The sequence below is a fragment of the Homo sapiens genome, chromosome 10 (assembly GCF_000001405.40).
Source record: "Homo sapiens chromosome 10, GRCh38.p14 Primary Assembly".
Lineage (NCBI taxonomy): Eukaryota > Metazoa > Chordata > Mammalia > Primates > Hominidae > Homo > Homo sapiens.
The window spans coordinates 1,017,075-1,036,526 of record NC_000010.11 but is presented as its reverse complement, the minus strand read 5'-3'; the positions used below and the strand labels follow the sequence as shown (position 1 = coordinate 1,036,526).

Here is a 19,452-nt window from a genome sequence, read left to right as displayed (position 1 = left end):
AGCTCTGGCTGTGAGGCCTTGCCTGCATCTCAGCGTGTCCACGTGCTTTCCCTTCTGCCTGGAACCTGCACTGCCTTAGTCTGCACCTGGCTGAATATGACTCATTTAAACCCTTGGCTTAAACGTCATCTCAGATGATCTTCCCAGGACTCAAATCTGAATCACCAGCATGAAGTCAGAGCTCAGTGACTTTGAGTAAATTATGAATAAAAACTTAAGCATTGGCCGGGCGCAGTGGCTCACGCCTGTAATCCCAGCACTTTGGGAGGTCGAGGCGGGCGGATCACGAGGTCAGGAGTTTTGAGACCAGCCTGGCCAACATGGGGAAACCCCATCTCTAGTAAAAATACAAAAATTAGCAGGGCGCAGTGGTAGGTGCCTGTAGTCCCAGCTACTCGGGAGGCTGAGGCAGGAGAATGGTGTGTGAATCCAGGAGACGGAGCTTGCAGTGAGCCGAGATCGTGCCACTGCACTCCAGCCTGGGTGACAGAGCGAGACTCCATCTCAACCAAAAAAAAAAAACACAAAAAAAACTTAAGCATATACTCACAGGTCCCATAAGGCTACATTGCTTGTGTACAGACAGTTCCCTCTCAGCAGTCGCCACTCCCACGTCAAAGGCTGTTCATGCTTCCCTTCAGGTAATGGTGGGCCAGGTGGGCCAGGTGGGCCAGGCAGTGGCACAGCCCACCTCCCAAGAGCGCTGGAAAAACCTGAGAGAGAATGTCAGAGACCAAATAGCTCTGAAAAGAAGCATAGGGCAAAATCTAGGAGAAGAAAACCTGTGCTGCTTTTCCCAAGGGGCATTGCCCAGTTCCAGTAAATGAGCAGAGAGGCTGGGCAATGGAGAGGTGCTTCCAATAGCCAGACAGGAATGGGGGAGCAGAGACCAGGGGTGAGAGCTGCGAGGGCAAGGCCCACGGAGAGCTTCCCAGGCTTCACGTGCTAGGAAGAGGAATTTAGGGCCAGCCTGGAATTGGCTCAAAACCTGTTTTTATTAGGGAAATCTGAGATAGTTACTTCTCTAGTTTCTTGCAGAAAACCATTATGTGGAGGACAATAGCACATCACAGACTCCAAACAACCCCCATGTCTTTGTCATACACAGCATCCAGAGCTCGCTGGGCATCCACCCGGTGGGAGACAGGCCAGCACGACCAAGTGGCCAGCACACCAGCCAGCAGCAGTGACTTCAGGGCCCAGAGAACGTCAGCACGCTGAAACCTAAGACACAAAGCTTAACATCAAAGAAATAAAAGTCATGACAGAATTTTTAGAGAAACTGGACATTATTTTTTTTAAAGAACCAAATGGGCCCTGTTTTGAAGGATGTCCCTGAGAGCCATCGGCCCCAGCAGAGAATCACTGCTGGGGTCTCTGTTTCTTATCACAGAAATTCTAGAACTGTGTCCAGAACATAATCAGCACTCAATAATTATTAGCTAAAGGGAAGAAAGAAGGAAGAGAAGATAGACTAGAATGTCTTCCATGTGAATTTTTTATTGAGGAAGCTTGAGAGGCGGCCAAGAGGCCTGGGGAGGCCTGCGTTCCTGGCTTTAGGCTGTTTGTTGAGCAAAGACAGTGACCTTTCTGTTCCCAGGGAGAACAGCCCTTCTCAGTTTCATTATGGACAATGTTCTTCACAGCCCTTACGTTACTTTCCAGAGGAAGAGATGCAGACTTCATAGACCTATTTAAGTAAGATTGAAAGATGATTTTATTAAAATCTTTCCAATTTTTATACTTCTGGCCAACAATAGGCATTCTTAGAATTTTTGAAATTTACAACTTAATCATGACACGTGAACATCCTAAAGCACACACATGTCCTTGAAGATATTCCACAGAGAAGCTACAATGAAAGCCGTAAGACTCTGTGACTGGCTCTGTGACCATGGTTTGCAGATTGATCTGAGCACTTTGGCCAGGCATGTGCCATTTGATTCTTGTCCCAGGAAGCCCAAGACGTGACACGGTGACCCACTTTAATGTGTTTATACATAAGTGATTTCAGGAGGCAAAAAAACAGATTACACTTTTTTTTTTTTTTTTGAGACGGAGTCTCGCTCCTTCGCCCAGGCTGGAGTCCAGTGGTGCGATCTCGGCTCACTGCAAGCTCCGCCTCCCGGGTTCACGCCATTCTCCTGCCTCAGCCTCTGAGTAGCTGGGACTACAGGCGCCCGCCACCACGCCCGGCTAATTTTTTTGTATTTTTAGTAGAGACGGGGTTTCACCGTGTTAGTCTGGATGGTCTGGATCTCCTGACCTCGTGATCCGCCCGCCTCGGCCTCCCAAAGTGCTGGGATTCAGATTACACTTTTAAAAGTAATGGCAAACATAATTCTCAATTTAGGGTCTCAGTAATTTACAAATGTATGTCTAGAGTTAATGGGCATAGAAATTTACCCAGAAGAATTAGGAGGGGTATGTATGCAAGGGGTAGAAATAGGATCCCAATTCAGAGAAAAGGGAATTGTTCTCAGGGAATCAGGACAGGGAAAGTTTAGGGAGAAGAGAAGAACCAAAGTATTGAACTTGGGGCAAGACCAGAGTAAGAACCAACAGTAAAACCAAATTGCTGCACAAAAATAGTAAACAATGAGACAGGGATAGTTTTTTGGCCTGAAAATACTAGCCCATACATGTATGCCAAAAGCCTACTGGCAGTGTACCCAAAGAGACTACTTACAGCACCATGGCACAACACAGGCATGCAGTGGGTAAGGTTTCCTGGCATCTCGTCACAACCACTGGGCCTTGACCTTGGCCATCCCTGAGCTCTGAGCTCAGGTCTTAGCAGGTTGGTCCTACTGATTGTAACAGGGCCCTTGTCACTGGAGTTTGGCCAGTTATGTTAACATCTAGCTATTTATGAACCTTGTCATTAGTAATTATTACAAGATACAACATAATAGGAACAACTCTATTCATAAAAAATATATACACATAAACAACAAAAACATGTATATGTATTGTTATTCAGCCTCCTAGATGAATAACAGCTTAAACCTTATTAAGTCTTTCATTTTTTGCCTTTCATTTACTTAATTTTCTATTACAGTTTCAGAGCTTGGGTTATACCTGAGCCTAAACATGGTTAAATACCACCCAGTTGTACAGGAGACAGGATCAAACGATAGAGAAAATAGAGAAGTGAGTGTTGGAGGAAGAGCAGTAGTCTTCTCATGGCTGAAAATTAAAGCTAAGTCTGAGACTGACCCCTATTCACGTGGATATGGGGCCCATTTTAATAATGAACTTACGACCGGGTGCGGCGGCTCACGCCTGTAATCCCAGCACTTTGGGAGGCCGAGGCGGGCAGATCACAAGGTCAGGAGATCGAGACCATCCTGGCTAACACGGTGAAACCCCGTCTCTACTAAAAAATACAAAAATTTAGCCAGGCGGAGTGTCAGGCGCCTGTAGTCCCAGCTACTCGGGAGGCTGAGGCAGGAGAATGGCGTGAACCCGGGAGGCGGAGCTTGCAGTGAGCCGAGATCGCCCCACTGCACTCCAGCCTGGGCGACAGAGCGAGACTCCATCTCAAAAAAAAAAAGAAAAATGAACTTACATTTCTTTCACATATATTCAACTCTTCACATGTTCTTTTTCTCCTTTTGTTGGATTTATCGAGCTGTGCTTTTCAAGGATTTGTCGATTTAATGCACATTATCAAAGTTAGAGTTGTAACCTTTCCCTACATACAATCTTAGTATGTTTTTAGTATCTTCCTTTTTCTTACACATTTTCCAAAATCTTTCCTATCTCCCAATAGCATATGCAGAAGAAAATGAGATATCTCAAATATAGCAAAAACTGCATCAGATTGCTTTGGAATAAAAAAATTGAAAAGCTTCTAGTGATCCCAGCACTTTGGGAGGCCAAGATTGGCAGATCACTTGAGGCTAGGAGTTTGAGAGCAGCCTGGGTGACATGGTGAAACCCCATCTCTACAAAAATTAGCCGGGCATGGTGGTGTGTGCCTGTAATCGCAGCTACTCAGCAGGAGGAAGGAGGGACAGGCAGGGGGAGGGGGCTGAGGGACAAGAATTGCTTGAACCCGGGAGGCAGAGGTTGCGGTGAGCCAAGATCGCACCACTGCACTTCACCCTGGGCAACAGAGTGAGACTGTCTCAAAAAAAAAAAAAAAAAAAAAAAGGAGCAACAAAGTTGGAAAAAGCCATTAACTAGAATGATCAAGAAGAACAGAGAGAATGCACAAATGATGAAAATCCGAAATAATGCAGGTACATCTTTGTATTACCCAGCTAAGGCATAGTAATTAAAATCTTCCCATGAAGAAAAGACAAGGCCCAGTGGCCTCACTAGTGAGTTCTACCAAACATTTAAAGAAGAAGTATTGGCCGAGCATGGTGGCTCACGCCTGTAATCCCAACACTTCAGGAGGCTGAAGCGGGCGGATCACCTGAGGTCAGGAGTTCAAGACCAGCCTGACCAACACGGTGAAACCCCGTCTCTACTAAAAATACAAAATTAGCCGGGTGTGGTGGCACACGCCTGTAATTCCAGCTACCCAGGAGGCTGAGGCAGGAGAATCACTTGAAACTGGGAGGCGGAGGTTGCAGTGAGCCGAGATCGCGCCATTGCACTCCAGCCTGGACAACAAGAGCGAAACTCTGTCTCAAAAATAATAAAAAATAAGAAATATTACCAGTCCTTCATAAGCACTTCCAAGAAATAGAGGAAAAAGGAACACTTTCTTTTGGTTATTACAAGAAACTATACCAATGTATTTTAGTTATTTTATATTTTTTATATATTGGTGTTATTTTATTAGTTTTATATATATTATTTTATAACTAATCTATATGTTATATTAATTATTTTATATATTATGGTTATATTGCAGTTATATGTAGGTATATATAGCTATATATAGTTATATTAGTTATCATATTAGTTATTTTATATATTGTTATTTTATATTTTATATATAATATTTTTAGTTATCCTACCTCCCAAAAGCATATGCAGAAGAAAACGGGATATCTCAAATATAGCAAAAAGATTTCTATTGAGAAATGTTCAGTAATAAGTAAAATGACACATATGTGATTGATATTTTTTTTTTTTGAGTCATTGTCTTGCTCTGTTGCCCAGGCTGGAGTGTAATGGCACGATCTCAGCTCACTGCAACCTCCACCTCCTCAGTTCAAGCAATTCTCTGCCTCAGCCTCCCGAGTAGCTGGGATTACAGGTGCCTGCCACCATGCCTGGCTAATTTTTGTATTTTTAGTAGAGATGTGGTTTCACCATGTTGGCCAGGCTGGTCTTGAACTCCTGACCTTGTGATCCACCCACCTCGGCCACCCAAAGTGCTGGGATTACAGGTGTGAGCCACTGCGCCCAGTGTGATTGATATCTTAAGGCTGATGACAGCAGCCCTCTCAAATGAATCTGCAATTTGCTACTGAATCCATACAATTCACCTCCTCCAGTATTTGGCCAAGCCACACAGTAACTATTTATAATAGATATTACAAGAATAACTATTATCAATCACGAATCCAGATACAAAAATCTTAAAATATTAACAGAAACCAGCAACATATAAAAAGAATATTCTCCATGCCCAAGTGGGATTTATTTCAAGAAAGCAAGGCTAGTTTAACATCTGAAAATCAATTAATATGATACACCATATTGCTAGAATAAAGGGGAAAAGACCACACAAGACTCATTTCAGTAGAAATGCAGAAAAAACATTTGACAAAACTCAACATCAATTCATGATAAAATCTCAAGAAAGTAAGACGAGAAGGGAACTTCTTCAACCTGATAAAGGTCACCTTCTGAAAACCTACAGCCAACCCTATCTTTGCATTGAACAATGCTGTAGAACTACAGCTCAACACACTTTCTTAGGAAAGCAGAATCTGAGAGCCCATTCAGAAAAAGAACTACCTCAACACTCTTTCTTAGGAGAGCAGAATCTGAGAGCCCATTCAGAAAAAGAACTACCTCAACACACTTTCTTAGGAAAGCAGAATCTGAGAGCCCATTCAGGAAAAGTCTGAGAGCCCATTCAGAAAAAGTGTTCTTTGGAGAGCAGGATTGAATTAGTTTGATCTTTTCAATTGAATGAGGCAGTAAGCCACTAGGTACAGTGATACTAGCTTTGGTAATGTGCAGCTGTAGAGGGTTTGTACAAGGTTATTAAATTACATTCAAAATTTTGGTCTAGAATATCTTTTAGTTTTGGTGACCTAGGTCCATTATGTGCCTTAGGAATATACAAATATATGTAATCCAGGCTGGAGTACAGTGGCTCAATCCCAGCTCACTGCAGCCTTGACCTCTGAGGCTCAGGCGATTCTCCCATCTCAGCCTCCAGAGTAGCTGGGACTACAGGTGCACACCACCATGCCTGGCTAAGTTTTTGTATTTTTTGTAGAGATGGCTCTTGCCATTGTTGTCCAGGCTGGATGCCTGGGCCCAAGTAATCCACCCGCCTCAGCCTCCCAAAGTGCTAGGATTACAGGCGTGAGCCGCTGCGCCGGACACTGCCTTAAGAGTATACGAATGTATTTTTGATGCAAATGGAACTTTTCATTCAGGTGTAAATAAACTTGAGCTAAGTAAATGGTTAATAATAGGAGTTGATTTACATGCTTGCATTTATCTATTTTTTTCATTTACATACAACTCCTTGTGGGAAAGTGCACTAAAGATGCTGAGTACAAAAACTTTGTATTTATTTGCAGGATATATCTGAATATTTTTAATTAATTAAATAACCGAAGTTCCAAATTATAAACCTACAATCATGGACAGACATGGGAGCTTAAAGATTGCGTGGCTTGGCCAAATATTGGAGGAGGTCCAGGCGCAGTGGCTCACGCCTGTAATCCTAACATTTTGGGAGGCCAAGGCAGGCGGATTGCCTGAGCTCAGGAGTTTGAGACCAGCCTGGGCAAAGTGGTGAAACCCCATCTCTACTAAAATACAAAAAAAAAATTAACCAGGGGTGGCAGCGTGCACCTGTAGTCCCAGCTACTCGAGAGGCTGAGGCAGGAGAATTGCTTGAACCCAGGAGGCGGATGTTGCAGTGAGCCGAGATCATGCCATTGCACTCCAGCCTGGAGACAGAGGGAGACTCCGTCTCAAAATACGTATATATTAGAGGAGGCGAATTGTATGGATTTAGTAGCAAACTGCAGATTCATTTAGGAGGGCTGCTGTCATCAGCCTTAAGACATCAATTACATATGTGTCATTTTACTTATTATTGAACACTTCTGAGTACTTGTTCTAGAAGCTCTCCCAAATTAATTATCTCTTCCAAATTTTCCCAGTAATACCAAGGGCCTCATCTTTTCTGATCATTGCTAAAGTGTTAATTCTTTCTTGATTTATATAGATAAAAATAACCCTATTATGGAAAGTTATTTTTATTTTCCTCACTGCCAAAATTTTATTCATCACCGTTTTCCAACATATGGATTTGAGTATAATCTCTTAAGATATTTACAGAAATTTTAACCTATGTTATCAAATATCAGGAAGTGCTTATCTTAGAAGCTTGTTCTTTGGAATTTTGTTGACAGGAGTTGAAAATTTGAACAGCTCAACAATTGTACTTAACAATTTAGGTTAAGTTACTTGATAGTTTTAAACGTGAGAAAAGGAACGAGAAATATTAGAGAAAGGAACTGGATATAGTGAGCATGAAGGAAGTTTTCTAAGAGTGTTCCTGCAAAGGAGTAGCTTGCTGGGCAAATGAGGTCTAAAAAACTAGCTGTTACTTAAATGAAATCATAGTCACATGCTTGCAGACTGATAGGAGAATTCCAACAGAGAGAGAGAAAACGTGATGATAGAGAAGAAAAAGGGAAAATTGCTGGACGATGTCTTTGAGTAGGTGACTGTGGGTGAATCTGCTGCAGAAGAAGTTATTTTTTGTTTTTTGTTTGTTTTTGAGACAGAGTCTCGCTCTGTTGCCCAGGCTGGAGTGCAATGGAGCGATCTCTGCTCACGGCAAGCTCGGCCTCCCGAGTTCACACCATTCTCCTGCTTCAGCCTCCTGAGTAGCTGGGACTACAGGCGCCCACCACCACACCCGGCTAATTTTTTTGTATTTTTAGTAGAGACGGGGTTTCACCGTGTTAGCCAGGATGGTCTCGATCTCCTCACCTCGTGATCCACCTGCCTTGGCCTCCCAAAGTGCTGGGACTACAGGCATAAGCCACCGCACCCGGCCCTTTTTTCTATTTTTAGTAAAGATGGGGTTTCACCATGTTGACCAGGCTCATCTCAAACTCCTGACCTCAGGTGATCCACCCGCCTCAGCCTCCCAAAGTGCTGGGATTACAGGCATGAGCCACCACACCTGACCCAAGAAGTGACTTTTGGTAAGTACATGGATCACCCATCATTCTAGGTGGAAAGCAGAGGATTAGGGTTGTACAATGCCTAGGAGATGGAGTGATGGTGTTGGGAGTGGCTGTTCTCTTCTGCATGCAGCAGTTTTCTCAGAGATCTGAGAAGTTTACCCCAGTGTCGACGATAATGTGTCAGTATTTCTGGAACATGGCAAGCCCTTTCCATCTGTGGGTTTAAGTCATCTTGTGTGTCTGGGATATTTTTCTTTATTATTATGGCTCTCTTGTTCAAGGATACCCCTTTTAGCACATGCTGTATTTGTTTTACCCTCTCTTTCATACCTACAATACTTGGCCTACTCCTTTTTAACTCTTTCCACTTCCATTTCTTTTTACCTGCTTTTCCCAGTCTTGGCCTCCATGTCCTTCTCTATATTTCACTGATATCTAGAGCCCTTTCTGTTGCTTCTAATTTGCCTTAATCAGATGTAATCATCTATTCCTAGAGTTTATTCTTAACCTCCTACCTGCAGCATTATAGGTCATCAACTGTCATTCTTAAAGTTGTCATAACCTCTCTTAAGAAAATTCTCCGCATATAGCCTAATCAAAATGTCTTCCTTCCTTTCCTTTATAATGTTTTTTGTGTGCTTTATGTGTCAGAACCTTGTACCCAGATCAACCTAGCAAAGGGTTTCCCTCCTTTTTTATCCCCTAGAACATTTTACAGAGAATGACAATTCCTTCCTTGAAATTTTGATAACATTTGCCTCTAAAGCTTTCAGTGCTTAGTTTGGTGGTGACGATCCCAACATGTTAAACTGCACAGATTCTGGGGGCTCAGCTGCATCTGCAGCCACATTGCCTTGGGCAGGTAATTTACCTCTCTGTGCTTCAGTTCCTTATCGATGCTGTGATAATAAAAAATAACGCTTATCTCAGAAAGCTGTCGTGAGGACCAAATGAATTAATATACATTAAACTCTTAAAATAGAAACTGGCACAAAGGAAGGACACAATGTGTGTCTGGCTGTCTTACTATTATTATTATTACTATTAGAGTTGTTGGATTATAATAGGTACGGTATTGTATATTAGTTTCTTCCTCAAAGCCTAATTCATAGACTTATTTATTATTTTTTAGATCTTTAAAAGAGTATCATTCTCCCATTCTTACTCTTCTGACTGCAAAAGAAACAAGTTTCAAACAGACCATTTATTCCTGAGTCTCAGAACTGATTTCCAGGGAAAACATTTCAGGCATAGCCTTTTGATTTTCTACGTAACTAAAAATTACATGCATAAAGGTGAACTTATGGAAAGACAAAAGAGCAAAACACATTAATCTTTTTATAGAATATTACCCATCACTGCTGCTGTGTTATTTTTGTTCTGTATTATCCGTGCCAAAGTCAGCGGAGTCATGCGTCCATCGTGCTTCTCTCCTCATATTCCCTGAGAGAACCGACAGATATGGCAAACATTTTTTTGATATTTTAAGAGACCCTACTTGCAAAACTATTTGGCCTAGAGCTTTAGTTGGTAGATGATATTTGGAATATGATAGGCAAGAAATTATACAGTTTTTTAGCTCTTCCAAACACATTGGTTTCCAAGGTCTTGCATTTATTTATCGATTTTCAGCTATCCTAAGAATTTATTCAGTAATTTTAGTCACAATGTTTATTATTTTTCTCTTCCATTTGCCACCTTTATTTTTTCTTTTTAAAATCTGGGATGATATATACAGCAAGTGAATTAAAAAGATGCCATCGAACGGCGCCGTGGCTCACACCTGTAATCCCAGCACTTTGGGAGGCCGAGGCGGGCGGATCACCTGAGGTCAGGAGATGGAGACCAGCCTGGCCAACATGGTGAAACCTCGTCTCTACTAAAAATACAAAAAAATTAGCTGGGCGTGATGGCGGGCGCCTGTAATCTCAGCTACTCGGGATGCTGAGGCAGGAGAATCGCCCGAACCCGGGAGGCAGAGGTTGCAGTCAGCCGAGATCACGCCACTGCACTCTGGCCTGGGCAACAGAGCTAGACATCACCTTAAAAAAAAAAAAAAAAAGAAAGCCATAGAGTAGAAAATAACTTACCCTAGGTTTAAAAACTAAAAGCATTTTTTAAAGTGAGATTGTGTCAAAACAATTTTCTATTATCCCTCAATTGAGAGGGAGAAAGATAGAGAGAAAGAGATGGAGAGATAGAGAGAGACCGGGGTGTGTTTTCTTGTTAAGAATACAAAAATATCAGATTGCCTTAGCTGATATCTTTCTACATCCCCAGGGTATAAAAGGGCCCTGGTTCAACTTGCACATTGAGTTCCACATCTGATACCCAGGAGTCTCCAGCTTCCAAGAGAGGTTAGTGCATATGTTTTACCTTGTGGGAATTCTTTCTTTTATGATCTAAATTTGTACATATTCAGTAATTGTTTTCTCTGCATTTCTATTGTATCTCATGTCCATGCATTAAGTCAAACAGCCTTTTGCAAAGAGGAGGAGCAGATTGCTGAAAATATTAACAGTAATGATAATGGACAGACGTGAATGCATTTTTTTAAAAAGTAGAAAAGGATGATGAGAAGGTTTTACATGAAGATAAATGACCCTGAAAACATTTTTTTTTTTTTTTTTTGAGACAGAGTCTCACTCTGTCTGCCCAGGCTGGAGAGCAATGGCACGATCTCGGCTCACTGCAACCTCTGCTTCCCAGGTTCAAGTGATTCTCCTGCCTCAGCCTCCTGAGTAGCTGGGAATACAGGCATGTGCCACCAGGCCTGGCTAATTTTTGTATTTTTTAGTAGAGAGAGGGTTCCACCATGTTGGCCAGGCTGGTCTCAAACTCTTGACCTCAAGTGATCCTCCCACCTCGGCCTCCCAAAGTACTGGGATTACAGACGTGAGCCACCGCTCCTGGCCCTGAAAACATTTTGTGAGAAGATCTTCACCTAAGAATCTGCTTGGCTCTGAAGAGGACCATAGCCCTTCTGTGGGTGACGTAGCTTTCCTACAAGGCTGTGTGTTTCTCCACGTCTGATCCAGGTCCAGTGGTTTTGCACAGGGCTGCACTTTTCCCCAAAAACTTGTACAAAGAGTGTTACCTACAGTTTACCTCGGTGTGTTTTGTGTGTGTGTGTGTGTGTGTGTGTGTGTGTGTGTGTGTGTGGTGGGGCGGGGATTCTTTAACTCGTCACTAAAGGAAACCTGGAAAACATGAGGAGTATGTATGTACCCAAGATTTCCCGTTCAGAGAGACACCACATTAGAAACAGATGATTCACCTTCCATATCTCAGAACTGTGCTGCTTCAACACAATTGCTGTCACTTGTAGAGAAGGTGTATGCTAAATCCTAATGTGGTTGGTAACACATAGCAAAAACGAGATGGCAATATCTTTCACATAAAGAGGCATTTGTGTGCATCTATTTCAGGTCGGGTCACAGCCAGCAGCTATGTCTGACATAAATCTTGACTGGGTTGACAGGCGTCAGTTGCAGCGCTTGGAGGAAATGCTGATTGTTGTGGATGAGAATGATAAGGTTATTGGTGCCGACACCAAGAGGAATTGCCATCTGAACGAAAACATTGAGAAAGGTAGCCCCCGCCCATTTTCTCTGTCCAGTTCCCAGGGTTTTCCCATTTTTCCCACCCGACGGCAACCTAAGAAGAGAGTCTAGGCCTTTCCGGCTAGGAGGCGACCACTGGGTCACCTGTGTGCTTGCTGTGCCGTCTTTAGAAGGCTCGGGGAGCAGCACCTGGATGACGTCTTTGCTTGGTCAAGCCCTTGTCAGGCTCCTGCACCTTCTCCTAGGCATCCGTGCTCTTCCTCGTAAGATCCTGTTTCAGCAAGAATTCTACCAGGTTGTTTTAGCGAGAACCCTGACCTTGGCATCTGATTAAATTCCTCAACCCCGTCCCTCCCAGGTGACGTCTGATCACGCAGGCCTGTCTTCAGCAGGTCTTGTTAGGTCGGTGTAGCCAGAACCCCCTTCCCACTGATGTTTTCTCTTAGTAACTTTTAATCCATAGGCCCCAGCCTGCTCCTTGGGTGTTGTGTGCAGTTAGGCTGGTTCTCCATGGAGGTCTCTTTCCCCTATTGAAATGGTTCTCAGTAAAGTCAGACTTTCCTGCTTTAACTCCTGTCCAGCTCTGGTTTTCTTTGACCATCTTAAGCCATTTTATTATTTTTTAATTTTCATTTTTGTGTCTTTTTTATAAACACATAATAATTATGCATATTAATGGGGTACATGTGATAGTTTGATACCACCATGTCATGCATAATGATCAAATAGGGCATTTTGGGATATCCATCACCTCAAACATTCATCATATCTTTGTGTTGGGAACATTCCAAATCCTCTGTTCTAGCCACATTGAAACATATAATACACTGTTGTTAACTACAGTCACCCTACTGTGCTATTGAACAGCTGATATTATTCCTTCTCTATCGCGGTATGTTTATACTTATTAACCACCCTCTCGTCATCCCTCCCCACTGCCCTTCGCAGCCTCTGGTGTCTAGCATTGTGTTTTCTGCCTCCATGAGATCAACTTCTTTAGAGCCCACATAGCAGTGAGAACATGTGATACTTGTTTTTCTGTGCCAGGTTTGTTCCACTTAACACAATGGCCTCCAGTTCCATCCATGTTGCTACAAATGACAGGATTTCATTCTTCTTTTTTTTTTTTTTTTTGAGACAGAGTCTTGCTCCATTGCCCAGGCTGGAGTGCAGTGGTGCAATCTCAGGTCACTGCCAGCTCTGCCTCCTGGGTTCATGCCATTCTCCTGCCTCAGCCTCCCGAGTAGCTTGGACTACAGGCACCTGCCACCACGCCCAGCTAATTTTTTTGTATTTTTAGTAGAGACGGGGTTTCACCATGTTAGCCAGGGTGGTCTCGATCTTCTGACCTCGTGATCCGCCCACTTCAGCCTCCCAAAGTGCTGAGATTACAGGCGTGAGCCACCGCACCCGGCCCGATTTCATTCTTCTTTTGTGGTGGAATGGTATGCCACTGTGTATCTAACCCTCATGTTTTCAACCCTTCAAACCTCCACGGACACAGGTTGATCTCATATCTTGGCTGTCGTAAATGGTGCTCAGCACCCAGGAATGCTGCGATATCTCTCTGATAGACTGATCTCTTTTATTTTGGATATTTGCCCTGGTAGTGGGATTTCTGGGTCATCTGGTAGATCTATTTTTAGTTTCCCGAGTGTTCTAATCCGCTGAGATTCTGAAACGTTGTGTTTGGGCATCCAGCAGTCCCCTTTGCCCTGCCCAGGTGCCACAATCACAGGCTTTTCTACGAGAAACAGACTGAGGACAAAAAGCACGAAGGACAATCGTACAGACTCCAGGCATGCACTCACACAAATGGCACTTACCTTTGCAGGGCTGCTGCACCGAGCCTTCAGCGTTGTCTTGTTTAACACCAAGAATCGAATCCTGATACAGCAGAGGTCGGACACGAAAGTCACGTTTCCTGGTGAGTCCGTTCAACCAAGCCCCGGACTGAAGAGAGCATCTCATGTGACTTGACCGGAGGAATCTGGGACAGGAACTCTCTGGTGCTCAGTGCCGCACTGTGGTGAGCTGGCAGCTCATCCTGCAGAAAATCGGCAGCTTAGGCAGATGCTAATTATGCTGATAGCTCTTCAGTAGGCTGGGTTTTCTTTTTTAAAAAAGTAAGAAACTATATGAGTTTCTGGGTTTTTTTGTTTTGTTGTTTCTTTGCAACGGCAAGTTACTTAAATGCAGAGGAATTTATCAACCTAAGGATTTAGGGGATTAAAATAGCATTTAGCATAAAATTAACTAGGTAATAATAATAAAAATTATCTTACAGGTCTTAGAGTTTTAATTATCTTGTACTTCTTAAAATTACAACTTAAAATTTTTTTTTTTTTTTGGAGATGGAGTCTGGCTCAGTCACCCAGGCTGGAGTGCAGTGGCGCCATCTCGGCTCACTGCAAGCCCCGCCTCCTGGGTTCACGCCATTGTCCTGCCTCAGCCTCCCAAGTAGCTGGGACTACAGGCGCCCGCCACCACACCCGGGTAACGTTTTGTATTTTTAGTAGAGACGGGGTTTCACCGTGTTAGCCAGGATGGTCTCGATCTCCTGACCTCGTGATATGCCTGTCTTGGCCTTCCAAAGTGCTGGGATTATAGGCGTGAGCCACCGGGCCCGGCCAAAAAATTTTTTAGAGGGGAACAGCATTTACGTCAATTGTGGTCATTTAAAGTGTTTTGGCCTAGGCTGTCCTCAAATTTTCAAAACCAGACCTTGCCTGAGCCATTAAAGCGAATGGCTAAGCACGGCCAGCTGTGGCCGAGGTTTTCTCCTCCCTTAGTTCTTCCTCGGAGCCGCAGTGGGTACATCCTGCCCATTCCCAAACCCACCACCATACTTGCTGGTCAAGTTGTACTCACGGGCTCCTTGATGGAGCTGAATGCAAAGTTTGTTTCAGAAAAATTCAGGAGCTGCAAAGTTAAGAGGGTCAACTGTAGTACATAGTCAACAGTTTGCAAATAAAGCCCCTGGAGCTAAGATTTCCTATCATGTGTTAGCCGCCTCCAGGATACATAGGGGCAGGTGGGAGTACCAGCTCTTGTACTTGCAAGAGTGGATTCAACTTCAGCCAAACTCCTTGCAGAGTGACCGAAGGAAGCACTGAGGGTCTGAGGAACGAGAGGGAACAGAGATTTACTGAGGAGAGTGTGACCTCCCGTCATAGCGCTATTGCTGTTACTTGGGTAAATTAAGTAGAACCTCTCAGTAAGGAAACTTGGTCAAAGGTATTCCAGCAGTCTTCCTGTGAAACCATGCTCACTGATCACCACCCTCAAAGTGCAGCCCAGCTTCCTCAGCCCAGCTGGTGCAGCCACCCAGCCCACAGCCCCACCACCTCCTCCCGCCACCCCATGGCATCTCAGGTCCTCTGTGGGTACAAAACTGAGTAGGAACCAGTCCCTCTCCTAAGACATACTGGGATAGTGCCACGGGACATGTGTGTGCACATCTGCAGGAAGGGCCGCAGGAGCGGTCAGGGCCAGCCCCGCCAGGTGGTCATGTGGAAGACCCTCACCAAGCCCACAGCCGTGGAGGCTGGAGGCGAGTGCTGCTCTGAGAGCCCATGACAAACCCACTCCCCCCGCCAGGCTGTCTTCTGCTGATGACGGATGATGGTTTTACATGAAGCATCTGCATTTGTATTTAATATATTCACTTTTCAGGAATAAAGAGGGATGTTCCCACATGCATTTTTTCCAGGGTATTTTACCGACTCCTGTAGTAGCCACCCATTATACAACCCAGCAGAACTGGAAGAAAAGGATGCCATCGGAGTGAGGAGGGCAGCCCAGAGGCGTCTGCAAGCAGAGCTGGGAATTCCTGGGGAGCAGGTACACACAGCATCCAGTCTCAGCTGTGTCCACGGGAGTCCAGGTTGGCAGCGGGCAGACGGTGAACAAAGTCCAGGCTGGATCTACACCATTGACCTCATGAAGCACCATGAGGATGAAGGATGGGGCTGTGGATGGGGCTGTGAATGAGCTGTGAATGGGGCTGTGAATGGGGCTGTGAATGTAGCTGTGGATGGGGCAGTGTGAGTCCCTATGTGTCCCAGGCAGGGTTGAGACTGTGCAGGAATCTGTCGACCACACACCGAAGAGGAAATTCAAGCCGGGCGTGGTGGCTCACGCCTGTAATCCCATCACTTTGGGAGGCCGAGGCGGGCGGATCACAAGGTCAAGAAATCAAGACCATCCTGGCCAACATGGTGAAACCCCGTCTCTATTAAAAGTACAAAAATTAGCTGGGCGTAGTGGCACACGCCTGTAATCCCAGCTACTTGGGAGTCAGAGGTTGCAGTGAGCCGGGATTGTGCCACTGCACTCCAGCCTGGCGACAGAGCGAGACTCCATCTCAAAAAAAAAAAAAAGAAAGAAATTCAAGTGTAGAAAGAATGTCCAGGATCCTGTGAGCATGTGTTACCTTCATCCACTCAAGAACACGTTTAAGAGAGGATGGATGTTCTCCTGACAACGCTAGCCGGTTTCTACGGGGTTTTCTGTTGAGGATGTGTGTGTGACACGGTTAGTTCTTTAAATGAAGACAGACAGGTTTACTGGAACCAAGAAACCAAAGCCGGTTTATCATTCAGACTTGAGTCCACAAAAATTTACTTAGCTAAAATCGAGGTTTTGGAAATTATCAATTACCAAAGAAAGTGTTCATTTTCTGAGGAAAACAAATGTGTTTATTTTCTCTATTTTTCTGTAAATTCTGTGTTTTACATTAGCGTTGTTAACACTGCACCAATTTCTGTCAATAGATTTCTCCAGAGGACATTGTGTTCATGACAATCTATCACCACAAGGCAAAATCAGACAGAATTTGGGGAGAGCATGAAATTTGTTACCTTCTGCTTGTGAGGAAAAACGTCACTCTGAACCCGGATCCCAGTGAAACGAAAAGCATCCTCTACCTGTCCCAGGAGGAGCTGTGGGAGCTGCTGGAGAGGGAGGCGAGGGGTGAAGTCAAAGTCACCCCCTGGCTAAGAACCATTGCCGAGAGGTTTCTGTACCGGTGGTGGCCTCACCTGGATGACGTGACCCCGTTTGTGGAGCTTCACAAAATACACAGAGTGTGAGAGGCAGGGAGGTCGAGTCAGCCATGTGTAATGCCCTCAGTGCAGGCAGACGCACCATTGAGGCAATGATACACCCTCTCCAAAAAACAGGGCAAAAGGGGCACTTGATTGCCCATCATGTATAAATCACTATTTCAACCTTTTCATCAACTTTGTCATATCTTCATTTTCCCTTTTCCTTATTTCCATATTTCTCATCTGCCTGGTTGCAGGGAGGAAATTTAACATTTCCTTTGTCCCAATTTCCATTTTATAAGCACTTGTTTGATTAACAGCAGCTGATCCTGAAAGTCTTGGGGAGATCTTGAGAGTCCTGAAGCAGGCGGACTAGCCTGGCTGGACCATGAGGCTGTCTCCCCACAGCTTTATCCAAGCCTCCAAGGTCAGGATGGGATCTCTGTATCATGTTTTTCTTTTTAAATCACTTATTTCAGAGTGCAACACAAGGCTGCATTTTTAAAAAAAAGACACATTCAATCTTGCATCCTAATACAAGCAGTACGGAAGATGCGTATGGTCTCAGCCAAGTGACTCGACGTTTATCCACTTCTGTTCATTTGATCGTTTCAGTAATATGCTTACAAATAAAGACATACTTGCTTTAAAACATACTGTTGTTGTTTAACACAAAGTAAACTATATGTTAAGTTTTGGTGTTTAATACGGAGAAAGAATTTCAAAAACCAGACCTGGTATTTTTTTTTTTTTTTTGAGATGGAGTCTCGCTGTCGACCAGGCTGGAGTGCAGTGGTGCGATCTTGGCTCACTGCAAGCTCCGCCTCCCGGGTTCAAGCCATTCTCCTGCCTCAGCCTCCCAAGTAGTTGGGACTACAGGCGCCCGCCACCACACCCAGCTAATTTTTTGTATTTTTAGTAGAGACGGGGTTTCACCGTGTTAGCCAGGATGGTCTCGATCTCCTGACCTCGTGATCCGCCTGCCTCGGCCTCCCAAAGTGCTGGGATTACAGGCATGAGCTGCCGCGCCCGGCCATACTGTTGTTGTTTAACACAAAGTAAACTATATGTTAAGTTTTGGTGTTTAATACGGAGAAAGAATTTCAAAAACCAGACCTGGTATTTTTTTTTTTTTTTTCACACGGAGTCTCTCTCTGTCACCCAGGCTGGAGTGCAGTGGCACGATCTCGGCTCACTGCAACCTCCGCCTCTGGGCTCAAGCAATTCTCCTGCCTTAGCCTCCCGAGCAGCTAGGATTACAGATGCCCACCACCACGCATGGCTAATTTTTGTATTTTTAGTAGAGATGGGGTTTCACCATGTTGGCCAGGCTGGTCTCGAACTCCTGACCTCCTGATCTGCCCACCTCGGCCTCCCAAAGTGCTGGAACTACAGGCTTGAGCCCCTGCGCCCAGCCCAGCCCTGGTAAATTTTTAAAATTGCCACATGTAATCCAGAAGTGTGATTAACTAAAGTCCTTTCCTCAGCTATAATGTTGATTGTGTGACTTGATAACTTATCCGTGGTGGCTCTTGGACCCCTGTGTGTCTTTGGAGCTCCAGGAGCACACGGACCCCTGGGCAGGTCCCTCCGACCCCACAGCTCTTCACCCCAACGCTCCCCAGCAGGTGCTTTTGAGGTGGCATTGGCGGTGTTTTTGTGTTTTACTGAACATGTAACTTCAGGGACGGGCCACAGAAATAGGAGAATGCCCATATTTAATTGCCTAATGCCTCCAGCAACATTTTACTCCCCCAAAAGTATTTTTGCTTTAAAACAAAATAGAAATGTCATGTTGTTTGCCTTTTTATTTGGCCAAATCCATAGCGACTATAACTAAACCAAAACATGAGCTAAGTAAATGAAAACTACTTTCTTCTGGAGGTTTATTTTGGATAAAATAGTTGAAGACAGACTACAATGAGACATTGTAAAATAAGACTAGAAAATAATTTAAGAGCGTATTTTAAGCACGGGATTCCGACACACTCATAAACGTGTTTGCTCCCAGCTCTTACAAAAGAAAATAAGGTTTTTCTCCATCAAAAACAACCTAGTTAAACCAGTAAATCTTCCCAGTTCTGAAAATCTGAAGCAACTGATACTCCATTAAATGTGGAAACACTGTCTACTCAAAATATTTGTAATATTATGCAGTGACAAAAATTTCCCACACCTATATAGGGTTAACCATAGTTTTCAGCAAAGCAACAAGTGCTTTACTTATTTTGTCTTTTTCAGTTTATACAGAGCTCCAATTTCATGAAACCATACTGTGCCAAACCAGGAAATAAACAGCAACACTCTAGCGAAGCCACGCCAACCAAACGGATACTATCTCCTGTCCTTTTTACCAGCTTTCCTCTTCCCAGACAGCAAGTGCTTGGGCTTCATATCAAACACGTGTCTATCCGCCTCCCCTTTCTTCCCCAACCGATTCATCTTCTTCTGAGCATTCTTCATCATAGTCTTGGCTTTCTTCACCAT

At 44.2% G+C, this 19,452-nt stretch overlaps 2 protein-coding genes and 1 long non-coding RNA gene across 7 annotated transcripts in view, besides 2 other annotated features; 1 reads left to right on the top strand and 2 right to left on the bottom strand.

Moving 5' to 3' along the window:
* IDI2-AS1 (IDI2 antisense RNA 1) overlaps positions 1-13,890 on the bottom strand; it is a 21,565-nt gene extending 7,675 nt beyond the window's left edge. Inside the window, exons 1-3 of one of the 4 annotated variants that reach the window (NR_027709.1) lie at positions 13,744-13,890; positions 1,021-1,237; positions 551-713 (exon numbers count right to left, since the gene is read on the bottom strand). This is a non-coding gene — a long non-coding RNA (IDI2 antisense RNA 1). The remainder of the gene's footprint in view (positions 1-550; positions 714-1,020; positions 1,238-13,743) is intronic. The other 3 variants (NR_027708.1, NR_024628.1, NR_024629.1) reach the window with 3 other exon arrangements.
* Positions 164-373: an enhancer, noted in NCBI's record as "active region_2894". NCBI's record gives its function as "activates an Ori minimal core promoter by ATAC-STARR-seq in GM12878 lymphoblastoid cells {active_cell/tissue: GM12878}" and the evidence as "EXISTENCE:reporter gene assay evidence [ECO:0000049][PMID:35858748]".
* Positions 384-433: an enhancer, noted in NCBI's record as "active region_2893". NCBI's record gives its function as "activates an Ori minimal core promoter by ATAC-STARR-seq in GM12878 lymphoblastoid cells {active_cell/tissue: GM12878}" and the evidence as "EXISTENCE:reporter gene assay evidence [ECO:0000049][PMID:35858748]".
* Positions 10,668-17,617, top strand: IDI2 (isopentenyl-diphosphate delta isomerase 2). The gene is made up of 5 exons (NM_033261.3): positions 10,668-10,711; positions 11,783-11,945; positions 13,752-13,844; positions 15,630-15,760; positions 16,693-17,617. The coding sequence occupies exons 2-5, from the start codon at positions 11,804-11,806 to the stop codon at positions 17,008-17,010; spliced, it is 684 nt and encodes a 227-aa protein (NP_150286.1). The 5' UTR covers positions 10,668-10,711; positions 11,783-11,803; the 3' UTR covers positions 17,011-17,617.
* GTPBP4 (GTP binding protein 4) overlaps positions 16,595-19,452 on the bottom strand; it is a 31,499-nt gene continuing 28,641 nt past the window's right edge. For both annotated transcript variants that reach the window (XM_047424932.1, NM_012341.3), the window contains exon 17: positions 16,595-19,452. In XM_047424932.1, the coding sequence (XP_047280888.1) occupies positions 19,300-19,452 (153 nt within the window). In that variant the 3' untranslated portion in view covers positions 16,595-19,299.